This window comes from Homo sapiens, chromosome 4 (assembly GCF_000001405.40).
Source record: "Homo sapiens chromosome 4, GRCh38.p14 Primary Assembly".
In the NCBI taxonomy this organism is placed as follows: Eukaryota; Metazoa; Chordata; class Mammalia; order Primates; family Hominidae; genus Homo; species Homo sapiens.
The window spans coordinates 54,085,193-54,111,379 of NC_000004.12; the positions used below are offsets into that span (position 1 = coordinate 54,085,193).

At 47.2% G+C, this 26,187-nt stretch overlaps 2 protein-coding genes and 1 pseudogene across 2 annotated transcripts in view, besides 8 other annotated features; 2 read left to right on the forward strand and 1 right to left on the reverse strand.

The window, feature by feature from the left end:
- CHIC2 (cysteine rich hydrophobic domain 2) overlaps positions 1-6,687 on the reverse strand; it is an 82,091-nt gene extending 75,404 nt beyond the window's left edge. The window contains exon 1 of the mRNA XM_047450063.1: positions 6,589-6,687. The gene's annotated coding sequence lies outside the window, so the exon portion shown is untranslated. The remainder of the gene's footprint in view (positions 1-6,588) is intronic.
- MORF4L2P1 (mortality factor 4 like 2 pseudogene 1) lies at positions 1,493-3,255 on the forward strand (annotated as a pseudogene).
- Positions 6,146-6,245: a silencer, noted in NCBI's record as "silent region_15434". NCBI's record gives its function as "represses an Ori minimal core promoter by ATAC-STARR-seq in GM12878 lymphoblastoid cells {active_cell/tissue: GM12878}" and the evidence as "EXISTENCE:reporter gene assay evidence [ECO:0000049][PMID:35858748]".
- Positions 7,832-8,451: an enhancer, noted in NCBI's record as "H3K4me1 hESC enhancer chr4:54959191-54959810 (GRCh37/hg19 assembly coordinates)". NCBI's record gives its function as "activates a minimal SCP1, AML or CMV promoter by ChIP-STARR-seq in naive H9 embryonic stem cells {active_cell/tissue: H9 hESC(naive)}" and the evidence as "EXISTENCE:reporter gene assay evidence [ECO:0000049][PMID:30033119]".
- Positions 10,639-11,437: an enhancer, noted in NCBI's record as "VISTA enhancer hs678". NCBI's record gives its function as "enhancer in: neural tube[11/12]" and the evidence as "EXISTENCE:transgenic organism evidence [ECO:0001131][PMID:17130149]".
- Positions 14,815-15,605: an enhancer, noted in NCBI's record as "H3K27ac-H3K4me1 hESC enhancer chr4:54966174-54966964 (GRCh37/hg19 assembly coordinates)". NCBI's record gives its function as "activates a minimal SCP1, AML or CMV promoter by ChIP-STARR-seq in naive H9 embryonic stem cells {active_cell/tissue: H9 hESC(naive)}" and the evidence as "EXISTENCE:reporter gene assay evidence [ECO:0000049][PMID:30033119]".
- On the forward strand, positions 14,971-17,306 carry GSX2 (GS homeobox 2). Its single transcript, NM_133267.3, has 2 exons — positions 14,971-15,726; positions 16,390-17,306. Exons 1-2 carry the CDS (start codon positions 15,153-15,155, stop codon positions 16,728-16,730), a joined length of 915 nt encoding a protein of 304 aa, NP_573574.2. The 5' UTR covers positions 14,971-15,152; the 3' UTR covers positions 16,731-17,306.
- Positions 15,606-16,397: an enhancer, noted in NCBI's record as "H3K27ac-H3K4me1 hESC enhancer chr4:54966965-54967756 (GRCh37/hg19 assembly coordinates)". NCBI's record gives its function as "activates a minimal SCP1, AML or CMV promoter by ChIP-STARR-seq in naive H9 embryonic stem cells {active_cell/tissue: H9 hESC(naive)}" and the evidence as "EXISTENCE:reporter gene assay evidence [ECO:0000049][PMID:30033119]".
- Positions 16,398-17,187: an enhancer, noted in NCBI's record as "H3K4me1 hESC enhancer chr4:54967757-54968546 (GRCh37/hg19 assembly coordinates)". NCBI's record gives its function as "activates a minimal SCP1, AML or CMV promoter by ChIP-STARR-seq in naive H9 embryonic stem cells {active_cell/tissue: H9 hESC(naive)}" and the evidence as "EXISTENCE:reporter gene assay evidence [ECO:0000049][PMID:30033119]".
- Positions 18,019-18,794: an enhancer, noted in NCBI's record as "H3K4me1 hESC enhancer chr4:54969378-54970153 (GRCh37/hg19 assembly coordinates)". NCBI's record gives its function as "activates a minimal SCP1, AML or CMV promoter by ChIP-STARR-seq in primed H9 embryonic stem cells {active_cell/tissue: H9 hESC(primed)}" and the evidence as "EXISTENCE:reporter gene assay evidence [ECO:0000049][PMID:30033119]".
- Positions 18,795-19,569: an enhancer, noted in NCBI's record as "H3K4me1 hESC enhancer chr4:54970154-54970928 (GRCh37/hg19 assembly coordinates)". NCBI's record gives its function as "activates a minimal SCP1, AML or CMV promoter by ChIP-STARR-seq in primed H9 embryonic stem cells {active_cell/tissue: H9 hESC(primed)}" and the evidence as "EXISTENCE:reporter gene assay evidence [ECO:0000049][PMID:30033119]".

Below are 26,187 nucleotides of genomic sequence, written 5' to 3' on the forward strand. Positions count from 1 at the left end.
AAACCTGTTCAGAATTGGTAATTTTATATTTACATCTATCTTCTGAATTATATTACCTTTTTACCACTTTTGTAGGTTACTATGATAAATTCTTGCCTTAACAACAGCTATTGATTTTAATTATTGAGATACCAATGATCTCGTAGGGGGATGCCAATTATTACGAAGTATCTGTGGAAGACAATGGTGCTGTGTATGCATACAGAATTAGGGACACTGTCTTGCTCAATCAATTTTCAGTCAATGAGCTCATCAGCTAAATCTGATGGACTGACAGAGAATCCAAACAGAGTAATACAATGACTAAGACAGTAGTTGGTTTGCCCAGAGCAGTCAGATGAGGAAGGGCATCGAGCCAAGTCCAGAGACTCAGGGCAGACTCCAAATGAGCTCTAGCTAACAACAAGACAATATCTCTTGTTTTCAACCCTGTGTAAATTATAAAAACAAGAGGATGTGGCCATTATGGTGTGTTTCCCAAAAACTGTTCATGTAGCTGTGATGTGAGCAGCTAAAGAATTCCACAGGCCGACAGTGGAGGGAGAACCTTAGCCCTAATCTCAGGGCCACTGGATTTAGAAGCATCCACAGTAAATCCAGTAACTTATTAGTTTTCCTCATTTAGCCAGGAGGTCTGGAAAGGGAACTTGTCTCCCACCAAAAACAAAATGATACTTTGATTGCAAGTCTAAATCCAGGATCTGATTTTGGCAAGTCGTTTAACCTCTCAATATCTTATTGTGGAAATAACAGTTAAAAAAAAAACAAAAAGTCCTATCTAGCTTAAATAATTGTGCTAACCCAAGGACATAACTGGTTAGAGTCTTTATAAACTGCAGTCCTGTATACAGGTAAAATAGAATGGTGAGGAAGCATCCACCTAGAACACTGACATTCTTCTTTCAATCCTTCATAAATTATTGAGCATCTCCTCTGCCAGGTTCTGCTTTATATGCTTAGGAAAGCATGTAAACAAGATAGCTTAGATCTCATTCATTTTGAAGCTTCCACTAGGCCTTTGATTCATGTGCAACCAGCTTGCAAAATGCTGGTCATACACAAGTTTTGGGCTCTGCCCTCAAGCAGAGGGGCATGGAGAAGATTATGAGACAGATGATGATAGTAATAAGATGATGCATTGAAATCAGTGCAAATCCATTTCATCTCCATCCCAACCTCACCCTTTTACTGCACCATTGAGTTTGGGGTTTGGTTTAGGAGGTCCTGGATGTAAATTCACCCTCTCTTTGAAATAATAATGGCCCTCTTCTCATAGGGTGGTTGTTCTCAATGAACCCAGTAGACATAAATATCCTGCAGGAGCTTCCATTCTAGCAGGGAGATTCAGACGATAAACATAAACAGAAGATATTATGTAGCATATAGTTGGAAAGTGATGACTGCTATGGGAGAAAAAAATAGAGCATGGAAAAGGGATTGGGAGTGCAGAAGGCACAGTAGCAGCTTTGATATTTTAAAAAGAGTGAGAAAGCGGCAGCTAGAAAGATCTGGATTCTCATTTCAGGTCACCATTCAGAAAAGCTAAGTTTGCTGTACAGTAAGGCTCAGGAGATCTGATCCTGATTGTAGAAACCTCTGATTACAGAATCTTGGATTGTATCTCCCACTGTATCCTCCTAGACCATCCTGCAAGATCTATAAGAGTCCTTTTGGGAAATCCCTAGGAGTTCTTGGAAAGAAGAAAGATTGTTGGTTGGAATAAAAAGGGTTGAATGAGTTCCAGAAAGCCGGGTTCTCAATCTCATGGACAACAATCTGCAGAAGAAGACAACTTCAAAAAACCAACTAGAAGCAACATGCAGAGATGAGAGGGGCCTCCTCAGGAAAGAAGGCAGCTGGTCCACAGCAGAAAAATCTTGAACCACCTCTCTCAGGAAGATGTGGGGTCGCTCTGCAGAGAACTTCTTAGCTTCAGGATCCGTGAGGAAGACCAGAAAGAACAAACAGAGGACTCCTGGAAACAGATATGGGGGCAGTACCAGCAAAGCACCTCAGACCCCAGGGAAGGAAAGAGCCTGGGCAGACCTCACTGTTGAAAGCGAGGACGCATTTAAGAACAGAATGGAAGTTAAAGTGAAGATGCCTGAAGAATCGAAACCATGGCTTGCTGGGGACTGGAACTTAGTTACCAAGCAGAAGCAGCTGTTTTAACTCCCTGCTAAGCAAAATGTAGATGCAATTCTAAAGGAGTATGCAAATTGTAAAACATCGCAGGGAAACGTCGATAATAAGGCATAGGCAGTTAATGAAATTGTGACAAGAATAAAAGAATATTTCGACGTGATGTTAGGCACTCAGCTGCTCTACAAATTTGAGAGGCCCCTGTATGCAGAAATCCTCTTGGCTCACCCTGATGCTCCTGTGTCCCAGGTTTAAGGGGCACACACCTACTGAGGTTATTTGTAAGAATAGGAGAAATGTTGGCCTATATATCCCTTGATGAGAAGAGCCTTGCGTTATTGTTGGGCCATTTGCATGATTTCCTAAAATATCTGGCAAAGAATTCTGCATCTCTTTTTACTGGCGGTGATTACAAAGTAGCTTCTGCTAAGTACCACCACAAAGCCCTGTGCTGGTCTACAGACCATTCACTGTTATTTCCCTGAGATCTGGAAACACTTTTTGTTCTTAGTCTTTTTCTTGTAAAATGGATATTCTTTAACATTGTTAATGTAAAACAGGGCTTATGTTTCAGTTTGTTTTCTGTTCTGTTTTAAACAGAAAATAAAAGGAGTGTAAGCTCCTTTTCTCATTTCAAAGTTGCTACCAGGGTATGCAGTAATTAGAACAAAGAAGAAATATTCAGTGGAACATTTTATTGCCTAGTTGACAACATTGCTTGAATGCTGGTGGTTCTACCCCTTTGACACTACACAATTTTCTAATATGTGTTAATGCTACATGACAAAATGCCCTGACTCCTAGTGCCAAACATTCAATTTGATATATATACCCAAAAACCCATGCATTTGTTCTCTTTTTTTTAATGATGCTTGAAGTAAAACAGCCCATCCTCTGCAAATCCGTCTATGTTGTTCCTTAGGCATTCTGTCTTTGCGCAAATTGTTGAAGGGTGGTCGTTTGTTTCATGGTTTTTGCATTTGAGTCTAATGCATGTTGTAACGTGATAGAGGCAATGCATTATTGTGTAAGCCACAGTTTTCTGAAAAAGTTGATATTTTAGGAATTACATTTCAGATCTTAAATAAAATTTGTTTCTAAATTTCAAAGCAAAAAAGAAAAAAGACAGTAAGAAAGTGTCTTTGGAGGAAAGACCTAAAGGTGAGGAAGTAAGACGTGTGAGCTTGTAGGGGAAGAGTTCTCAACAGAGGGGAAGGCTAGAGAGGGCCAGACCAGCAAGGAAAACAGAGGGAGCAAGTAGGCCAGTGGTTGGAGTGGTCAGAGACAGCCATGGTGGCATCATGGAGGGCCTTTTGTTCTTGGTCTGACCTGATCAGACTTCTATTTCAAAACGATCCTTCTGGCTGCTCTGTTGAGAACAGATTGTAGAGGCAAGTATAGGAAGAATGAACCCAGTCATCCCTATGCAGTGGTGATGGCTTGGACCCGTGCGATAGTAGTTGGAGTGTTAAGAAGTGGTCAGTTTCCAGTTACATTTGAAGTTAAAGCCTTCAGGACTTCATGATGGGTTAAATGTACAGGATTAGAGAAAGAGCAAGAGAGGAGTCACAGAAGATTCAAAGGATTTGGGCAAGAGCCACCAGAAGATGGAGGTGCCAGCAACAGAGACCTGAGGGTAATGCAGGAACCTGGAACTCCTGTACCTTCTCTTCTCCTAGTTTCCAGGGCATCTTCCTGCAAGTGTATAAAACTGTAGGTAGAGGAACAAAGCTGATATGGTCCTATTTGGTGACTGTAGGAGAGACTGACCACTAAGACCATTTCATCCCTTGAGACCTCAGTCTCCCTACTTATAACATGAGATAGGTCAGTTACATAAGGACAGAATTCCTTTCTTGCTGTTAAATTCAAGAACCTAGATCTGCAATCGGTTCTCCAATCTTTCAAGCCTTCTTTTTGATTTTTTTTCCTTGGGAAAACATCTCAATAATGAAATCCAATCTTTAAAAATTTTGGTTTTAAACAAAATTATATTGTGATCAGCTTGAGCCTAGGAGTTCAAGGCTACAGTGAGCTATGATCCCACCACCACATTCCATATATATATATATATATATATACACACACATATATAGTGATCAAAATATTTGATCAAAATATCAAAAAATGTTTTTAATAAGTCAGCTTCTCTAAAATAAAAATAAGTATGTCTTGCAATTGTTTATACAATACCTTGTTCCAGGGAGGTACATGGCTAATCAGGAAACATATTTCCTATGTTGTATTTAATCAGAAATTTTGCTCACAAGGTTAAATTACAGCATTCATTTTGTGCCACTGTGAAAATATTCCCTTCCATTTTAACAGGACTAAAAATGCTTCCAAAGCTGCCTAAAAGAATATTCAGCTCCTATAGGTTCTTGCTGCATTTTTATTTCCCTTGGTAACAGTACTTTTGATAACATTGGTGGAAGAAAAGAAGTCATAGTAAAGGATGAAGATGGAGTATCTGATACTATAACACTAGCCTGATGCTAGAGGAGAATGTAATACAGGCTGAATATTGAAAATTTGCAACTTATTGAGCACCAACATGACATCACAAGTGGAAAATTCCACACAGAAGTACTTAAAACATATTGCTTCATGCAAAAAATCATTTAAAATATTGTATAAAAAACTTTTAGGCTATGTACACTGAATAAGCTGTATGTGAAATATAAATGAATTTTGTGTTTAGACTAGGGTCCTCTTCCAAGATATCTCATTATATACATGCAAATGTTCCAAAACCATAAAAAATCCAAAATCTTCAGACACATCTGGTCCCAAGCATTTCTAATGAAGGATACTCAATCTGTATAAATTATACACAATTTAATTATTTTATTTTATATATATATATTTTTTAGATGAAGTTTTGCTCTATGGCCCAGGCTGAAGTGCAGTGGTGCAATCTCGGCTCACTGCAACCTCCACCTCTCAGGTTCAAGAATTCTCCTGTCTCAGCCTCCCAAGTAGCTGCGGCTACAGGCGTGTACCACCACGCTGGCTAATTTTTGTATTTTTAGTAGAGATGGGGTTTCACTATATTGGCCAGGCTGGTCTCGAACTTCTAGCCTCAAGTAATCTGCCTGCCTCGGCCTGCCAAAGTGCTAGGATTATTGACATGAGCCACCACAACCGGCCTAATTTAACCTAAATCCAGAAATAATCCCTTAAATTTTGTAGCTCACAAACGCATCCTCCCTCTTTCCCCACAACATTCCATCAGACTCAGGGAACGTCATCACACATCAACGTCGTCATAGTTTGTATACTGAGTGCTAAGTATGTGCAAGGCGTTGTGCCAAGGGATGTCAGGCTTAACTCACTTAATGCTCACAACCATCCTGTGAGAAGAGGGTCATTATTATTTCCATGGTCAGAGAGAAGGTGGATTCACATCCAGGACCTCCTAAACCCAATCCCAAACTCAGTGGTGCAGTGAAAGGGTGAGGTTGGGTTGGAGATGAAATGGATTTGCACTGATTTCAATGCATCGTCTTATTACGATCAGTGTTTGTCTCATAATCTCCATGCCCCTCTGCTTGAGGACAGAGGCGACAAAACTTGTGTATGACTGGCATTTTGCAAGCTGGTTACACATTAATAAAAGGCCCAGTGGAAGTTCCAAAACAAATGAGATCTAAGCTATCTTGTTCTCACGGTTTCCCAAGCCCAAGTAGAGCCTGGCATACTATAGGCACACCATGGGTGCTCCCTGAGTACATGAACATAAAGATGATCCACAGGTGGGTGAACAATACTGGGGGCAGGTGAAAGGGAGGACCTCGAGGCAATACTGCCAGAGCCCCTCCTGCTTAGAGTGTCCAGGCTTCTACATGGGGAGACAGCGCACCCCCCAGACACTCCCGCCCACTCCTTTCTGGCTCGCTGAGTGACGCCAGTTTCAAGCCTCAGCCCACGCCAGGCTCCAGGACCAGCAGAGCGGGTCTGCGCGGACAGAGGCACTGGGCTGCGCCCGTAGCGCACCCCACCAAGAGGAAGGCGTGCCTAGTGGGGAGGCGGGGCTCCAGGGGCCGGGCACACGCAGACACACTCCTGCTCTCTCTACGCACGTTCTCACACTCTCATTCACACCGCACTCACCCTGTGCACATCCCCAGTTTCTCGTATTCCTCACATTCACACATTCATACACTCATATATTCACACACACCCATGCTCCCAAACACGCTTCACTCACACAGCTCCGCGCACAGGGATCAAAGACCACATTGGGTACAGTGTACACTGCTTGGGTGATGGGTGCACCAAAATCTCAGAAATCACCACTAAAGAACCTATCCATGTAACCTAACACCACCTGTTCCTCAAAAAACTATTGAAATAATTTAAAAATAAAAAAGGAAAAGCAATCTCATTCCCTACCCTCATTCTAATTCACTTTTCACCTCTTCACACACCATCACGCCCACGTACCTTAATCTCACTGTTGACAGTACACTTATGCTCGCGCTCATGCACACTCGCCCCCACCTCGCCTTCGCTCTTTACACGAGCTTGCGCGCAGACACACTCAAGGACTCCCTACCCACTTACACTCACGCATGCGCACAGGCGCACACGCTAACTCTGCCTCCTCACTCGCGCTCGTGCATGCGCATCCGTCGCGGAGAGGACTTTGTGCCTGGTGTGGGAGCGGGTGTTTGGTGGCCTTTGCGGATGGGCTTGTTTTGAGGCTGTGGGGTCAGTGCGATCGTTTAGATTTCCTTGGTTTCCCAGTGAGAAATAAGTTAGCCAGGAAGAGAGAGAGGCGGAGACCCAGGGAGACCGAGACTGGAGGAAGGGAGTAGGTTGAGGTTTTAGAGCCGTGGGAGCAAGAGCGCCGGGTAGGAGCTGTCGCGCAGAGAGCACCTCGCGCAGCCCCAGAGCCTGTTTGTTTACCCTCTTCCTCGGAGCGGCTTCTCCAGCGTCTCATTTCTTCTGCCTCCCTTGCCCTCGCCCAGGTGTGGGACGCGGGCGAGTGAGGACAGACTTACAACCGTCCTCGGCCGCGCAGCACAGGGTTCCCGCGCCCTGTCCCTATGCCCCGGGGACACAGGGCAGGAGGCTGAAAAAGGGACTCAGCGTTAGAAACTATGGTTGGAATTCTCCCCCTGCCACTTGCTATGTGGCCTTGGCCAGTTTACCGTTGTCTCGGAGCCTCCGTTTCCTATCTGAAATAAGGAATCATTCATTCAACAAATATTAATTGCCATCCTAATATATGTCACCTCTGGTCTGGACATTTGGCATACACTGGTGAATACATAAAACAGACCCAGTTTCTGCCCAGGAGCAGTTTGCAGTCAACAAGCATACGGATTGATTATGAAGAGGGCTTTTGAATTAAATAATAAAATATTGCTTTCATCCACTCCAAATGTTTTTCAGCGCTTACTGTGTTCTGGGCACAGGTGAATAAAAACAATCATGTTCCCTGTCCTCATTCTAATTTCAGTCCGTACATTGGACTGGCCCTCAGAACCTTTAATATGTAGGAAAACCAACCACACTAACCAACAAATGGACAGCCAACAAATAAGGAAGTAATAAAAGCACCTACCTCACAGGGTTGCTGTGAGAAATAAAGGAGGCATTAAAGTCTTCAGCCACTGCCAGGCATATAGTAGGTGTTCAATAAATGCTAGGTGTTATCAGGTGGTTAGTATTGCTTAGTGCCTAAAAGGCTCTGCCATCACTAGCTGTGTGACCTTGGTTCAGTCTTTGAACTTCAGTAGTTCAAATAGGGTTCTCCGCAAACATAATGAGGAGAAAATAATGGCATTTTATCTGGGAGGGCTGTTGTGCGGATTAATGAGGTCATGCAGGCAAGGCTCTTGGTTCAAGAACTGCCACACAGTGAGAGCTCAGAAAATGTACCTACGAGTATTGTCATATACTCGAAAGGCGACTGTTTTCCTCCTATGCAAAGCAGGTGGGTGTGCAGCAAAGCTGGGAGGTTTCTAATATCATAGGAACGTTTTGAAATTTAGGGCGCAGTCCCAAGTAGGGACGGCCAGGACGCCAGAGCCTTTGACGGGGGTGGGGAGTGGCGAGGTTAATGTAACTGCTGAACAAACATATGCCCGGAAACCGAGGGATAGAAAGGCCCCACACTGGGCGCCTTCAGGGTGCGAGCGCCAGGCTGTGGAGGAGCCTTAGAGGGCAACACTCGGCCGGGAAAAGGCGCGGGGGGACGGAGAGATGATTGTGCAGCGGCTTCCTGGCTCCTAGTTGCCAAGCCCAGGGACTCTGATACCTAATTTACAAGCTTCAAGAGCCTATGGAGCTGCAGGTCTCAGATAATAATAAAACCAACAAGAGAAGCCACGAGCCTTACCAGGCACCAGGCCCGGTGTTAGGCAGTCCTGAATTCCTCACAAAAACTCGAAGACGATGGCATTTTCTCTATTTTACAGATGCAGAAACTGAAATTCTTTCTCCACTTTCCTAGGCCTCCTTTCAGTTTTTGCAATTAACCAAGAGAAACTCTCGGAGGCTCCCGTGAGCACCCTTAGGTGGCCGGGAACGCATTCCCCATCCCTCTTTCCCAGGCCAACACCCGCACATCTTGCAGGTCTCCGTTTAAATGTCACTTCAAGCTTCGGTTTTATCATCACCCAGAGCCCCTTGAGCTTTTCTTTCATATTCACACGACCTTTTTAACTCACCAGCTCCGAGTTAATTTGTTGATTCGCTTAACCTGGAAACTCCCCGGGGGCGGGTCTTGTGCTACTGAATTCCCTTGCGCGCAGCCTGGGGTATAATAGGCGCTCAATACACACTTTCCAACTATCAAATGACCAGATAAGGCTCAAAAAAGTTACGTTGCTCTCTTCAGATTCCATGGTAGGAGGGCGTAGGGGGCAGGATTTATCAGTTATTTCTCAACTACATCAGAACCGCATGCAGAATTCTGGTTGACTTCTGTCTCCCCCTCCATCTACACCCCGCCGTGTTCCAGCCTCACATCATTAAATCGAAATCCCTTAGGTAATCAGTATTTTTATAAAGCTCTCCAGGTGATTTTTGTAGATGACCAAGATCAAAAACCAGAAGGGCTGGGCTGCTAAAAATTATAAAGAATTGCTCTTATTTTAGTGACTTTTTTTTTTTTAAGTCTTTGCTCCCATAACTAAGCAGCTATTTTGGCTCCAAGCTTTCAGAAAATTTAGGCCAAGGGAAGTGGGGAATTGGTATGCATGTGAATAATTCAACCCTCCTCTTACACACTCCTGCCTCCCCCGCCCGCCCTCCAATACAAAAACCACATCTCTGAATAGGGTAGTAAAAAATAGTAAGTGCCAGGAGAACTGGAGAGGGAGGGAGGGAGGTGAAGCATTTGCTTCAATTATCCGGATAATTGTTCCCCACCTCAGGCCATTGTTACTGAAATGAAACAATATTCTATTGGATACTGTCTTGGCCTTTTCAGGCCTGCTCCCTGCAGTGCCTAGCACACGCTGGGCACAGAGTAGGCGCTCGATAAATTTTATTCTGATGACAGAGGAGAGCTCTGAGGGTGGGAGAGGGATGCCTTGTTCGGCTTGAGGATTTGGGGGTGGGCGAATATTAATTAAAGTGAAGTGGGGAGCAGAGGGGCTGTGTGGCAGGCATTCAGTGCCATCACAACTTTTTTCCAACTGGGCCGTTCCTGAAATTCTAAGCCAAACCCCTCACTTATTTCTCAGAAGACCTCCACTACCACCCCCCACCCCCCTCTCCCCGCTGCTTCTTCTCAGAGGGCCGAATTGAACTCTTGCAACTGTGGTGAGCACAAAGGCGAATTCAGGTTTCTCAAAAGCCCATCCGTTCTGAATAAACACCAGGGAGAAGCAAGATTATTTTTGGTGGTGCATGAACACAGGGCCCACAGCCTGCCCTCCCTCTAGAAAGGCCTTCCCTGGCCTTGCATTAAAACTAACAATATTGGGGCAGCTGAAGGAATAGCCTGGCTCCTGAGCCCCCCATCACTCAAGCAGTACAAGAATGTGGGGACTAGCTCCCAACTGCCCTCTTTCATCTTGACCCACAGCTTTTCAAGAGGAGCTTGAGTTCTCTATGAGTGTGTATTTGCTAATTGCAGCCGGGGCTTTAATGAGATTCTTTTAACTCCCCCAAGCTCGTTTGCAGGTTATAGCCTTATCTGGGGACCCACGTTTTCCACCCTGGCTACACATCCTGTGAACAATTGCCTCTCCAGAGCCTGAAAGGAGAGCGAGCGCCCCATTTCTGCTGAATACACTTCTCAGTTCATCCAAGGCTGGCGGGCTTTTGATGGCCACAATGCAAGTTACGCCCAAAGAGTGTCTCTTTGGTCAGATCGACAACGCTTGGCTTCACGTTTGCAAGTTAAACGGGCAGAAACCCGGCTGAAACTCCCACGCCAGACGCCAGGGACGTTTCCCTCCGCCCTGCTCAGAGCAAAACTGGGGAATGGGTCTGGGCGGGGGGAGGAAAGAAAGGAGGGGTAGTTGTGAGCAGAGGGTGGGGGAGAAGAGAGTCCTTATTCTCAACAGCCATCTAGAAGAAGAAAGGGGGGGGGGCATTTTCTCTGGCATTTCTTATTTTTATTTTTTCCATTTTGCTTTGTTGGCAGCTTTACCCAAACAAAAAATAAAATAAAATGAGAGCATTTTCTTCTTGTCTTCACCTAGGTAGCTGCTTTCCTCCAGCCCCTGAAAATGTGACTCCTTCATAAAATCAAAATTTATGATTATTCAAATGTTGGGGACTGTGAAAAGAGAGGAAGAAAGAGAGAAAATTAATATTGCAGCTGTTCTTCTGATTAATGAGAGATAATTGCTCATGAAAAGTCACCCCTGTGGCATTTTGTTGTCTCCTGGATCTTTGTTCTTTTCCACTATTATTGAGGACTTTCTTGAAGACTAAGCGGTTCTTTTCAATTTTTGGGTATTCAGAAAGGGTTGCCTGGTTACAGAGAATGGGGAAATCTCGGGCTATATCGGGTAAGATGTGCCACAGACAGCAATATCACAATGCCACTCGGAGAAAAGGATGGATACAAGTTAACGATGCACTTTCAATAAAACATTCATAGACTTGTTCACGCTTTGATAATGACCTCATTAAAGGGAGCTGGGGGCAAGTAAGTCCTGTCTCCTGTTTGTGTTCGGCTAACAAAACCCAGCTTTGAGATCATTCATCGCTTTGGAAACTAATATGAAATCAATGTAAGAGGAGCAAATAAATCCGAGGCGGCCCCGCCAACTCCCCGGCTGTCCCGCCCTGCCTGCAGCCTCCATTTGGAGCTGGAGAACCATGTGGGCAAATGCTGAAACTAAGAGAAAAAAGGACTGGGGATGAAAGTGGTGGTGGGGGAGGTGGGGAGGTTTGGAGGACACAGAGGGAGGGGCAAAGTGGGAGTTACAGCCTGAAAAAAACAGCTAAGCACAGGAACGGGTCAGAACTCTGGGGCCTGTTGAATAAGCAATGCTAAGTCCCTGCCCTTTACTTGTCCTGACTTTGCCCATGAAAGCAAACAGGAAGAAAGAGAAGTGAGACAGGAATGTGGGGTTCAGGTCAGGTGCCATTCCAGAGCTGGGAAGAAGTACTGGAGACCTTTTGGAAGCTAGAACTGAGAATCCAAATCTCAGGGTTGGGCTGAAAGGAAACTGCTCACCCAGGCTCAACTTGGAGAATCGAGAGACAAGAAGGCCATGCCTCTGCTGTTCTTTCTAGAATAGCTTTGATTTTTTTTTTGTAAGTTGAGGGTAAGGGTGGAGTGCCTTGGCCAGGAGGAGGTACAAAGAACAATTTTGTTACCATCACATATGTGACACTGTCTTGCACTCAAGGAAGACAAAACCATACTCTATTGTCCCAAGCAAGAGGGAGATAATAAAAAGATTTCCCCTTTCCTTTAAAAGAACTAATTTTCTCCTTGAATTATGAAAGTAATGGCTTAGGTAACAGCCTGTACTCTGTACCCGACTGCTTAATACAGAATAAATCCTTCCACGTGGCTCCTGGAGTTGTGGCAATTAGAGCTCATTATAGGCTCATAAGAGCTCTCATTTTGGGGATTACTTAATGGACGATGAAATTTTATCGGACAGAATCACTGAGAAATAAAATTGTGTGGCGGCTCAGACACCATGGGCACACGCCAATGGTCTGTCTGTTCCCTCTCAGGAAAAGAAAGCTGAACTTGGGGTCTCCTGCTGGTTCAGGGCACTGCACTCTGGGGAACAGTAGGGCTGGGCAGGGCTGGGGTGGGGGGTGGGCAGTGCTGCCCCGGGGGCATGGAGGGTAGGCTTCCTTTGAGGAGGGGATAGGCAGGTAGGGCCAGATAGGGGCTGGACTCAGAAGAGAAGGAGGGAGAGAGACTGGCAGACACTGAGAGATCCAAAGAGAACTAGAGAAGTGAGTCAGAGTGGACAGAAACTGTGCAAGAAATGGGATTCCAGTATACTTGCTCTTGGTGGGCTGAAGGAATTAACCAAGTACCCTAAGGGTCAAGTTTTTCAGACATGGTCTTGCTTTCAGCCTCAGCCTGGTCTGAAACCACTGCTCCCCTTGAAGTCTTTAGGAAACCCCATGAGCCCCTCACATTTCTCAAAACTCCTTGGCACTGAAAAATGAAAGTTTCCACAGTCAGACACAAATTGAATAAGATGCACAAGCCTCTTGCATAGTTAAGATTCTCTAAGGTAAAATGGTCTGCACATGGGTGCGATTTCTAGGACTTTAGCATAGGAGCTCTTCCTCTGAACACATCCCAAACTGCTGGGAACATTGTGACTCAAACCATCAGCCCAAAACAGACTGTGGATAACCTGGGACCTAACCCAGAGGAGGAAAAGAGAGAAAGCTATTATTCTTAAAGAGTATCTGTATCTATATCTATATATGCTTGTATAGTTGCAAAGTGAATGGGGGGAATCGAGTCATCTATTTGGACAGTTTAGGACTGTAAAAAATATCCTGCCATTCAGCAGGGTATGTTTTTTATTGCCATTCTCCATCAGTGGCTCCAAGCCTTCTTCTTGGGGCTGAAATGATTTCGGGGATTGCCTAGATCCTCCAGTCATGAACAAGGGCGGGCTGGGGTGAGCCTGAGCGTCTGCAGACCTTGTGGTACAAAAGTAGTTACAGCTGAGCTGCCCCATGTTAAGCCCTGAGACTCCTTAATTGTTGTCACAAGATGTTGGATTAGCACATTTCTGGAATAGCTGTCTGTTTACACTCCAGAGACCCACCGTCCACTAACCGCTTTCTAATTGAATTCTAATCACATTCAAATAGCTCAATAACCAGCCTCAGCTGCAATTCATAAAACTTTAATTGCCATCCATAAATCCTGGGCTCCCCAGAGCCGGGCATCCCTACAACCCAATTACACTTCTCTAGCAGGCAAGAGAGACTGTCACAGAGATGGAGAGGGGAAGACAGAGGATGGAAAGATAGAGCCGTGCCTCTAGCTAGTGCTCTCCTGGATTTGGGCACCTTGTTCTCTCAGGTGGAGGGAGTCCTGTCTCTAAGTTTCTTAGCACCATCATGAACTCAGGATTGAAGTTAGCTGCTCTGGAAAAAGGATCAGACTTCTAACTATTGCCCAACCACATGGCCCCAGCCCGCTTTTCTGCAGGGGGAAATGAAGAGAGAAAATGGCCACCTCTGCTGCCTTGCCTTCTCCGAAGATAAATAGTCCCAATAGTTTGGCAGCCACCCTCTCTCGGGCAGTAAGGGGTGTGCAAGACTTCCATGGACCAGAGAGAGTTCCCTTACAAAGCCACTTCTGCCAATCAGAGGCAAGATTCCCTGGATGGCTGAATCCTCTTCATCCTTTTTAGGTTCTTAAGATGCAGAGGAAAGAGTGCTTCCTGGTTAGCCTTGCTAAGCTGCCCATGATTGGTAAAAATGAGGGACAGGAAATCCTCAGACCCAGAGCGAAGGTCTATCTAATCCCTGCTGCGTCTTTAGGAGGGCTTGGTGTTTGAGGTCCTCCCTCCAAAATCTTCAGGATGGAGTTTGTAGGATTGCCCTGGAATGCCATGGTGTTACTACTTGGAGAAAGAAAAGGGTGACTCTTCAACATCTCTCTCTCTCTGCGGAAGTGGGAGGTGCCGATCAGAAAGGGAAACAAGGAAGGGTCGTTGGTCTGAGTGGCCCCAGGAGGGCCCCAAGTACAAAGACACTTCAGACCTTGTCGAACATCAGCATGAAAAGCTTGACGGTTTCTTAGCTGGGAGGCCTCACAGTTCTGCGCCGGACAGTCCTGAACTAACCACCTGAATGACCTCTGCCAAGTCCAAAAGCTGTGGACAGGGGTAGGTGTAACCGTGGCCAGAGCTGCGCTCAGGGACTGGACGACTGCCAGTCCGTCGCCCGCACAATCCTGCTCCAAACCGCAGGCCTCACACTTCACCGCGCCGCAGCCACCCCTACCACAGAGGAGCTGGAAACACTGAGCATTCCTATTAAATAAGCCTCCAAGTCCCCACCTGGTACGCTTTGCGGTGGGGCGTGGGGAAGAGTTGGGCTGCGGCCAGGGTAGCGAGAGGGGGTGGGATGGAGGATGCAGCGCTGTGATTTCTCAGTAAAGCGTGGAGAAAGAGGGGGAGGAGGCCGGCCTCCCCGGGAAATTAACAAAACCTACACTTTGCAAAGTCTCCCCCATCCCCCTCCCCCGAGTTCTTCCCCGCCGCGCGCCCGCCCCTCCTCGCGGCTTCTGTTGTGACTCGGGCAGCCTATCCCGAGGGTGCGGAGCTGCCGAGGAGCCTGAGCCGAGCGGTACTCCGCAGCATCACGTGCCAGGGTGGGGGGCTATAAAATACCCGAGCCGGGGCGCCGGGCGGGGGACGTGAGGACCAGCCCTCTCCGGGGACCCCTTTGTTCCCAGCCCAGACGCCAACACCTCTGCGTCCCCAAGGGCTTGACTGCCCGTGTCTGCGCGGCTCCCAGGGCAGAGCTTAGAACACTAGAGGAGAGGGGTCGCCGCGAACTGCCGGGGCTTCCAGCCACCCACCCCTCTCGACATGTCGCGCTCCTTCTATGTCGACTCGCTCATCATCAAGGACACCTCACGGCCTGCGCCCTCGCTGCCTGAACCGCACCCCGGGCCGGATTTCTTCATCCCGCTTGGCATGCCGCCCCCATTGGTGATGTCCGTGTCCGGCCCCGGCTGCCCGTCCCGCAAGAGCGGCGCGTTCTGCGTGTGCCCTCTCTGCGTCACTTCGCACCTGCACTCCTCTCGGGGGTCTGTGGGCGCCGGCAGCGGGGGCGCAGGGGCCGGGGTTACCGGGGCCGGAGGCAGTGGGGTGGCAGGGGCCGCAGGGGCACTGCCTCTGCTTAAGGGCCAGTTCTCTTCGGCTCCTGGGGACGCGCAGTTTTGCCCGCGGGTGAACCATGCGCATCATCACCACCACCCGCCGCAGCACCACCATCACCATCATCAGCCCCAGCAGCCTGGCTCGGCCGCGGCGGCGGCAGCAGCAGCAGCGGCGGCGGCGGCCGCGGCGGCCTTGGGGCACCCGCAGCACCACGCACCTGTCTGCACCGCCACCACCTACAACGTGGCGGACCCGCGGAGATTCCACTGCCTCACCATGGGTAGGGCGGGGTCTTGGGGCACCTGCGCTCCGCGCCTTTCGCGCTCCTGGAGCAAACTTTCCACCTCCAGTGGAGGAAGTGGGAGCCCGGGGACAGGGTGAAGAGAGAGGACGGGCTTTTAGTGTAACCGTAGAGTCAGCCACAGAAGTTCCACGAAAGTGGAAGTTAGTTTGCCAGCTTCTCCACTCAGCCTGGTGCGTTTTACTCCTAGTAGTAGGTGCTCGAGTATTGCCTTATTAATACTGGGGCCTTAGGGACCTCGAACGTCACGGCGGATAAACCAGAGGTTAACTGCTTGGGATTTGGGGTGGGTGTGTTTGAACCTGTGTGGCATCCCCGCGTCGGGGCGGCTAAAGCGTCTTGACGTTTTTGGCTAAGCCTGCGCGCTTCTCCGCTTGGCTCAAAGGGAGGCGATCAGATAGTGCAAGCCCCCATCCCTCTTTAATCCTGTGACTTCGCATCCTGCGCATCGAAGACCTTTATTTGCTTTGCACGTCTCTTTTCTTCCCCGCTAAGCAACCACGTGCCTTGAAATGGGAAAGGGATACAGATGTTCGGCTGGGCTTCCCCGGGTGGGTCCCTGAAATGCGTCCTGGTTAGCACATGGGGTGGGAGCACCTTGCCCGAGCCTTACCTCTCTACCCTCTCTTCGCCGGTCCGCAGGAGGCTCTGACGCCAGCCAGGTACCCAATGGCAAGAGGATGAGGACGGCGTTCACTAGCACGCAACTCCTGGAGCTGGAGAGAGAATTCTCTTCCAACATGTACCTGTCTCGACTCCGGAGGATTGAAATCGCCACTTACCTGAACCTGTCGGAGAAGCAGGTGAAAATCTGGTTTCAGAACCGCCGAGTGAAGCACAAGAAGGAGGGGAAGGGCACGCAGAGGAACAGTCACGCGGGCTGCAAGTGCGTCGGGAGCCAGGTGCACTACGCGCGCTCCGAGGATGAGGACTCCCTGTCGCCGGCCTCAGCCAACGATGACAAGGAGATTTCCCCCTTATGAGGGAGGGCCTCCTCCCTCACATCCCCCGCTCCTGGCAGACCAGGCAACGCCAAGGCGTGGGGCACCCAGGGGCCAGAATCCTTGCTCATTGCAGTGGTCCCATCTGGAGAAGAAACGAACCTGGAAGTTCTGGAATGGACAAGCCGGGACCTGACCCTTCGCGTCTCCTTCTTGACCTGTTTATCTAGGACTCCAACTTGAAGTTACAGATTTTTTTAAAAAATGTAAATAACCTATAATTCAACTCATTCTTGTCGTATAACAGAGGAAAAACAGGGTTGGTTTAAGTTTAACACTGTATGGGGTTTTTGAAAGCACATGTCAGTTCCCCATCCCTACTCTCTTTCAGAACTCGATAAGAACACAGGATTTATTGATTATTTTCTGTTGTCGTTTTCAAACAAAAACACCCAAGTTGAAAATAATTTAGAAAATTAGACCTTGTAGGTCTTGCTTTCTGAAATTTCGCCTGGGGAGAATTTAAAATCTAAGTCGCTGGAAGTCCCTTTGTATGTGAATAGGTTTATATAAAATTTATATTTATATTTATTTAAATAAATGAAACAAAAACCAGAATTTTAAATCTGTGGTGTTTGCTCTCCCTATCTTCTCCTGCCCCCTCCTCCAATGTCTAGAGAAAGGCATATGCAGGAAAAAGCTGTCTGAGGAATTCGAGGAAAATGTTGAGTAAGAACTTGGTAATGTGGGTCTCTTGACTGAGGGAGTTTGTGGCTCAATGGGTTTTCTATGTAACAGAACTTTCGCCAAGGAGACACCTTTAGTCATGATGGCATCTACCAGGCAGTGCCTCTCCATCCTTAAAATAGGCAACCTCCTCACAGTTGATAGGACAAATCACTCCATTTGGAATGACACTGACCATTAACGACAGGTAAACCTTTATTTAGCAAGGAAGGGTAAAAATCCCCCATCTAGTTTTTGTTTTCTTCTTTCTACTTCCTCATTTCTCTCAGTACGAAAACTTGAATTATGTGAAGGAATTTGTAGAGTCAGAATAGTTTTAGGAAGAGCAACAATCCATCAAACAGGTCAGAAGCAAACAGTGGAAACTTAATAACGATGCTACAAGCAGAATTAGCGGGTTTCCCTCAATGTTAAGAAAACAAAAAGTCAGGGACAGGAAGTATTCTGTTCAAAGATTTATAATCTCACTTTTTCAAAGCAGCCCAGAGATGCCTTTAGAGCTTTGAGTTTTGGGGCTTTTTTTCCCGGTCACCCTAATATTCAGTTAATTTGGCTCCCTTCTAGTCCCTTCCAGCCCACCCCCCTTCCCATAGCCTAGCAGAATCACTTCCTTTAAGCCTGGTCCCAGAGAAGACTTATTTCTAGCTCTTCCCTCAGCAGGGCAACTGGCTCTCTCCTCAGTGCGGCCTGGGCTTGTTATCTTAGGGAGAGAAGTGAAGAAACTGGAAACAGGAAAACGAAGAGATCTCATTCCCTGCAAGCTGAGCCCCACTAATCCTCAACCGGTGTGATTTCTGATTAGGTTCTATAAAGACGCCACCCAATAGGTTCAAGCCACAGGAGTTAATGACAACACACATACACAAGGGCTTTAGGTCTGAGTTACTAGAGGCCGGTCGGACTGAACCTCACCAGGTACGGCTGGGGTTCTAAAACTGGACACGGTTTTCCCTGAGTGTTGTCTTTAGCGCGCGCGCGCGCGCGCACACACACACACACACACACACACACACACACACACACACACAGTAGGCTCAGAAGGAAAATCCCTCTTCGTTCCGTCAAGGGACATAGGGAGGAGGGCCCGCACTGTGTGAGGCTGAAAAGGGAGCTGCCGGCGCTTTGTGCAATGTGCTGAGCTCTGTCCTGCGCAGAGGTCCCAGACAGCCGGCTCACTACTGCCTGGCCTGGGAAGCTCAGGCCTCTGGATCTCTTTCCTCCTGTCTCTCACGCGCAGAGCTCCGGGCTCTTCGCCCTGCCCGCCACGAAAGGGAGGAGGCGCAGGCCGGCTGCCTTTCCAAAAGATTCTGTCTCCCTTCTTCCCAAGAAGCAGGCCTCTCCGCGCGCGAGAACAGAGGTGGGAGGACGGGAGTTTGCAGGCGCAAAGAACAGGAGTTTAAGCAGACTATTTCCACCAGGGGAAATAAGAAGCACAAAGAGCGCCTGCTGCAGCTCTTTGCGCTCTTGCCCAAAGCTAAGCTTCCTCTGGGCTGTGGGGAGACTCCTCTGGTCCCCGTTCCATCTACCCAGCCCGGCCCCTCTGGGGCTCAGCGCTTGGGTTTAGCCCTCCCCTATGTCCATGACTAGCCCCGATCACAGTCTCTTAAGCCTCTCCCGGCCCCCGGCTCCCAGGCCCTGCGGAGCCAAGCACTTGGAACACCAGGTACCGCGCGCGGTGGACCCAGCTCTGCCATGCCGCAGATAGCCGCAGTGCCAACCCTGTTTAGATGGTTTGGATCTGCTTGGATGGCCCCAGCCCCTCTTGCTTCGATCTTTGGGGAAGTTCCCTAGGGAAAGGAGAATAAACAAAGTATTTCTGCCCAGAGGCAAAAAAAAAAAAAAAAAAAAAAAAAAAAAAGCGTAGCGATACCTATTTAGATGTTGGGACACTCTCCATAGAAGAAAAGGTTCTCCAGGGTTCCCAGGGAGGTCTTCCTTCTAGGACATCCGATGCAAAGTGGACTCCTTTGGTCACTTTCAGAATGGAGTATGAGGTCTCCTACTATGCTAGAATAAGTTTTACATGTTTCCCTATCCCCACTCCTCAAAAAATATCAGTTGATGTTTTTGAAGTTTTCAAATCGGAATAATGCTTTGGTATTTTGGAGTCGGTCTGATTCTAAAGACCAACAGTTTCACTTTAGTTTAAGAGCATTTAAGCCAACCCTCAGAAACTCACATTCTCAGCTAAATAATCTTGATATCAAACACCCATTTAAGAGGAAAGTTTAAGATGTATGGGGTCACCCTTGACAATTTCTCTACCTGGGAAGCACTAGATACTAGTTTCCATTATGCCCCAATTGAAAAACAGAAACAGAACTATGTTCCCCCAGAGCATGACCTCTTAGAGAGGTCATGGAAAGAAAGAAAGAATGGAAAGAAAGAGAATGAAAATGAGAATGAGAATTAGAAAACAGGAACTTGCTCCACCAAGAGAAAATCAGTGGGTAGCACCCGCTGTGAGTGTGGTTGAGTCCATCTTTTTGAGAACAAGTCTCATGTTAGTTTTAAACAGGAAAAGAGCTGGGGGTGGAAGGCAGAGTGGAGAGCAGGAAGGATGACCTCTCACCCATGTGCCCTGGCCCAGCCCAGACATTCAGAGCATAGAGGAGGAACAGAGACTTTTCCCCTTCACTCTCCCACTCAGCCACCAACAAATGCCTAAGGCCAAGGGCCTGATACTGATAGCAAACTAGGCCAAAAGCAAAAGTGACCCAGTAGCCCATCCTTAGGGTGTCAGTGGGCCTGCATGATGGAGACACTGGTGCCCATAGACCTCTTTTCCTCTAGGGTCCTTATTCTGAAGTGGTCATCATAGCTCAGTCCCTTCCCCACTCCCCTAAAGAATATCTAATAATTTTAGGAGAGACAAAACACTTGGGGATGTGAAGTCTTTGATTTCTGACCTCCGCCTCCGTCTCCTCATTGCCAACCACCACCCCGCTAACCCACAACGCCCCACCAGTTCTGTCCAGTTATATCTGGTCAGGATTAGAAATGCAGTTTGCTTGGCACACTCTAACTGTGGTCAGACAATTGCCAGAAAGGTGGTGGTTCTAACTAAAAGCAGTCACAGAGGGCAACAGGGGCTTTGTATGTACATGTGTGTAGTGTGTGCATGCATGAGGCACATGTGTGTGTGAAAGAGACAGAGAGGGTCCTTTGATGGTGGTGATGTAGGTGGAAAAGAGTAATTTTTAACCAGGTTTTCTTTTTCTTTTTGTTTCCCACTTATACCTTTCCTGCAGGTTCCACTCGCTTTTAATGGCACTCCTTGAGAGATTTCTTTGAGGGAGATGGGGAGGTGCTCAGTGTTGGGTTGTGGGGAGGAAAAACAGTCTGAACATGGAGGGGAGACATGGAGAAGAGCTCTGGGGCATGATCTCAAGCCCAGCCTTACGGGTGTGAGAGAGGGGAGGAGAATGACACTCCAATAGAACCTATTTGCTAGAGGAAATCAAGTTTAAAGGAGCAATCACTCCTTTCAAAAGAGCTCCTCCCATCTTCTCCAAACACAGCCCAAAGCTGTCCTAGACGATGAATGCAGTTCAGTGCATCAAAGCAATTGTTCCTATTTTCATTATTCACAGGAAATCTTTGAATGTACCTGTTAAGGTGACAGACCTTTTAAAAGGGAACATTTTTTTCCATGCAATTAAATGGTGCATTTACTAGGCGTCTATTAACATAATTTAATATAAATCTATTTTATAAATCTTTAGGCTCACATTACTGAAAATTGAGCTTCTCTTAAAAAATGCCCACATCTCTTCCCTAAACTACATAGAATAGAACCCAAAAACTTGCTATTCTAAGCCAGCTAGAAATATTAAAAGTAATAGAATCCTTTGTATTGTCTTTTGTTAATGGTGGGGGTATGAAGAAAAGGGGCAACTTGTCTCATAGAAATTCTATAAGGACCCGAGGCTTCTACATCCAACATCTGGCACTTGGAGTGGGCAACACAGGCTGGAACTAAGGGAGGGGCCAAAGAAGCACAGAACTTAAGACATCTCTTAGAATCAGACTTGAATCAGAACTCAGATTAAAAAAAAAAAAAAACTAAAAAAAAAGAAAGTCAGCAAAACTCCAACTTGCAAAGAAATTTGGATTCCAGTTTCTTCTGTTTGGGGAAAAAAATTCTGAGGCCTGTGAGACCTCTAGTGCTGCTCCATGTGGCAATAGATAACCTTGTCTGTTGCCATAGCCAGACTACTTATTCTCAAGTGTACCCTCCAAAATCCTGGGCATCCCATTGTCTCTGAAAATAGTGTTTTGTGCTCTCTTAATATACTGATGTCAATGCCGCCCTTCGGTACTGGACACTGCTTTTCTTCAAGCTGAGCCCTATGTTTTCCTGAACCCTTGCTGTATCTTTGTTGAGCCTTCTAAATCCCAAACCCAGGAAGGCCCCAGGGGCTCCCCTGAGTGAATCCTAACAGATCGGAAGTGTATGCTGTGTGCTTAGGAAAGTAACTAGTTTCAGATTAATGAAGCAGTGACAATTTCAATCTGCTTAAAGGCGGAGGTTGGCACTGCCCAGGCCTGAGCGTGGGGAGCTCGCCAGGCTGGGCTTTATATTGTCCCCTTTTCTGAAGAGCAGACAAAGATGGATAGAGAGACATTGAAAAGCAAGGGGAGTATTTCAAACAGTCTCATAAAGCAGGCTGTCACTTTAAGACAAGAACCATAGTGCTTTGATGACTTTGTATTAGCTGCACCATTTCAAATAGGGGACTCAAGTCTCTAGTGAGAGGGAGGCAAGGGGAGAGAGGAGAGAGAAGACAAGAGAGAGAGAGAGAGAGAGAGAGAGAGAGAGAGAGAGAGAGAGAGAATGTAGTAATATTTAGCCTGTGAGCACTGTGGCGAAAGTAATTCTAGGCAACTACTTGGTTTCTGAAGTTCAAGGAGAAACCACCCACAGCAGGTGCAGAGAAAAAAAGGCAGGTGGGAGTTGCTCCCGATGGGAAAGAGCTCCCTGCCTATGAGTGGCAGCCGGCTCCAAGGAGCAGAAGCCAGCTTGGTCTCAGTTTGCTGCGAAGGGATGGAGCAGGGTGAGAAGCTCTGCCTGCCCCAGACCTTGAAGGATTATAATGGAAATTTTTGAGAGTGTGAAAAAGAAAGAATACGAAGGAGAGGGAGTGCATGCTTTTGGAGACTTCCTTCACAAACCCTAATTTAGATTGTTTGGGGTCAAGCAGCAGCCAGCCACCTTCCTCCTTTCCTCCTTAATTAATTAATAAGAATGATTAATTATTAGGATTTTGAATGTCAAGGCTTCAAAATGCCTTTGGCTAGAGGCTGATGAGTTGCTTAAGCCATACATGTAGTTTTAACTTGGGATAAGGGAGTTGAGACTTTAGAGGTGTGTTTGCTGTCACTCTGTCTTTTTTTTTTTTTTTTTTTTTTTTTGCCTTTGCATCTGCTTCCCCAGTGATCTTTCTCTGTCTGCATTTCTCTGTCTTGTCTCCATCTCCTTCTGCCTTGATATCCGCCCCCACCCCCACCCTTTGTTCTCCTGGCCGTTTTCCCCATCCAGTCTCCCCTGGCCATGGCTCAATCCTCCTAGCTCTCCGGGGAAAGAGGAGGATGCTAAAGCTGCCATTCCTACTTGGGTATCTACTGCGGGCACAGGCATCTCGGAATCCCACTGCATCATCGGTGGCAGGAAGTGGGTGGGCATTAATGTAGTTTCACTCGCTGGATCGAGAGTTATTGACAGCTTAGATTTTCTTTTTTCTGCTTGTCAAAAATTTCTTTCTCTTTCTTTTCTTCTCTTTTTTTCTTTTTTTTTTTCTTGGATACGGGAACCAGAACCACGAAATCCTGCAAGCTTTGAAGGCCGGCGAAAGGGCTCCCCCGTCGGTGGCGCCGGAGGGAGAAGCGTTTAGTCACTGTTTCATTAGGCACTATTTGAACCTTGCAACATGTGGTAATTTCTGGGGCAAGCTGAAAAGGGGGGATTATGTAGGAGGGACATAAGGAAATTAGCCAACGGTTAATTTAACTCGTTTTCTGCTAGACTTTTCGATACATTCCTAATTGACTGAGGGGCAGGTGAAGCTCCCGCCCCATGCAGGCTCATTCACGGTGGGAATAAATGGCTCTTTCTCAACTCACACTGCTCACAATATATCATCAGGGAAAAGACATGCAATGAATATGTTGATTTTTTTTATTAATGGAATTACACCCTGCCATGCAGGTGTGAGGGTAAAAACCTATACTGCAATGAAATAAGATTAACAATGAAATTAGAATTTTATTAGCTTTATATGTCACACAGACCTGGATTTGAACTGTCAAAACAAGCAACAAGAAAAGATATTCTGAACGCAGCCCTGTCAATCAACCAGGAGAAACGAACAGCGTGGTATCGAAATCATAATCACCTTCCAGTTCTTCAGCGCCTCACTTGGGCCTTACGTGAGAAGCAAGTGGGTGGAGGACCCCGCGTGGGCAAAGGCCTGGTCTCTGGACCTGCAGATAGTAGATGAAAAACACCACCTGGGTTCGGTAGACCCGGCCTAAAAAAGGCTCGGGTCCAGGCTAGAAGGGCCTGGATGGCCCGAGGCCTCCAAGATATCAGACGGACCGGCTGGGCACCCGCGGCCTGCAGGCCATATTTCGCGTCCTCCAAATCAGCTGCCTAGGGCGGGCCGTGACCCGAGGGAATTGGAGAGAAAAGTCCAAACGCTGGGCGAGAGGCGGGGTAGGGCGCCCTTTGGAAACCGCCCTGGGTTTTGTTACTCCGGGGCCCCCGGAGCTTCGGCACAGCTACCTGGGTCTGGCAGGCGCAGAGGTGCCGTATGCAAATGGTTCACTATTAGGCGAGAAAGAAATACTTCAAATGGCCCTTTGTAACCTTCTATAGAAAATCGAGGTACTCTGCATGACAAAGCACAATTAAGCTTTCTATTCAGGAGTTCTGCAGCTGGTAGCCCATTGGGAAAGTGGGAGGAAACGCGAATATATTAATAGTGTGGCGAAAGTTTTTTGTGTGCGTGTCCTTTTCTAGGTCGGGGGTGGGGAGGGGCGGTGGGTGGACGCAGAGGGAGGAAGGCTCAGCCTTGGATCCTTGCCACCTGAACAACGTCGCCTCTGCCCACGTGGAAAGCCTCGCTTGTCTGGCAGCCGGGGTTCTGAATGGTTGCCGCGACCCCTGCGCTCCCAGCAGGGCCAAGAGGACCTCGCGGGCACCAGCGTCCGGGCGGGAAGGGACGTGTGCCCAAGCCTCGCCTCCTGGCCCTCAGTGGGCTGGGACGCCCTTGATCACCGGCGCAGGAAAGAGGCTCCCCAGCCCGTGAGCTTCGTCCGGGCGCCAGGGCAGGGATGGCTGGTGGTGTGCACTGGAGAGCACGACGGTGACGCTGCGTGGGAAAGAGACGTGGGAAGGGCATAGCCGGATTATCCACTCAGCTCCAATTTTCTCCAAGCGCCACTCACCCCACAGTTGAGGTTCGCTTCCCGATTGTTCATTTGTAGAGTCTAAAGGGAAAGAAAATTTTGCCTCTGAATAAATAAAGGGCCCTTAAAAACAACTCTGCTGATTATCCTGCGTTTTCCATCTGGATCCATTTCGCCCTCTTCTGCCCTGCTGGGTGCCCTCGGACACTGACCTTTGTGGACAGTATTAGTTCCTTTATCAACTGCGTCACTGGCAGGCGCTTGCCTCTGGCTTCCATTTGCATTTGGTGAATAAGTGGCACTGCAAATAACCGAACAACCTAAGGATAGAGAACTGCAGGTATATTGTTTCTGGGAATGTTATATTGTTCCAGTTCTGGCAGTTGCTGCTTCTCTAGAAATTCTTTTTCTCTTTGAGAGCCTATTTTCCTAGGCTCTGGCTTTTAATCAGACTCCCCCTGTGCCTTCAGGCATGAAGTGGAAATGCCTTCTAGTTTCTGCTAGTCCCCTGGGTGCATCAAAATTCTTGTTAGTTCCATTAGCCCTACACACATCTCTGCAAATAGTCGCTTTGTTGAAAAGTGTCTTTAAAAACCCTAGCTCACATTGGTTACCTGGCTCCTGATCAGCCATGTTATGTTTAAGTCAATCCCTTCTATAACAGCCAGCTCAACTGTCACCATACTTTTGCTGGGACAACTCCTGTGAGAGGAACTCCACCCTCTAACCCATTTCATTTTCAGACAGCTTTGACCATTAGAAACTTTCTTGTGTTGGATTAGAATCTTCATTCAGTATTTTTTATCCATTGGGTCCTACCTAGTTCTTTCTCCATGGAACTTCTAAGTGTCTGTCTTCTCCCTATTCCCAACTGTGAGGACATTGATGACAGCAACTGCATCTTTCATCTCTATATCCTTAGCATTCATCACAATGCCTAGCACCTACTAGCAGATGCCCAGTAAATGCTAGCTGGGTCAGTGCATCATCTTACTTCCAAGTCTCTACCAGTTGCATCAATCATGGAGGACTTAGAAACAGCTATGATGAAATATAGCTTGAAGATGGGATATATCTATAGGTGTGTGTATACACATGATAAATATATGTAAATGTTTATATAGGCTAAATATCATGTACATAAGGTAAATATATTGAGAAGTTTCTGGAGACAATCTACGTGCTTTACCATTTACTAGCAGTGTGACCTCGGGCAATTCACTTCATCCCTCTGACTTCCACTTGCCTCATTTGTAAAATAAGGATAATTAATAGTTGAGAATTAAATAAGGACATTGATAGTTAAATAAGGAAATAGATGTGAAGATATATAGCTATTTAG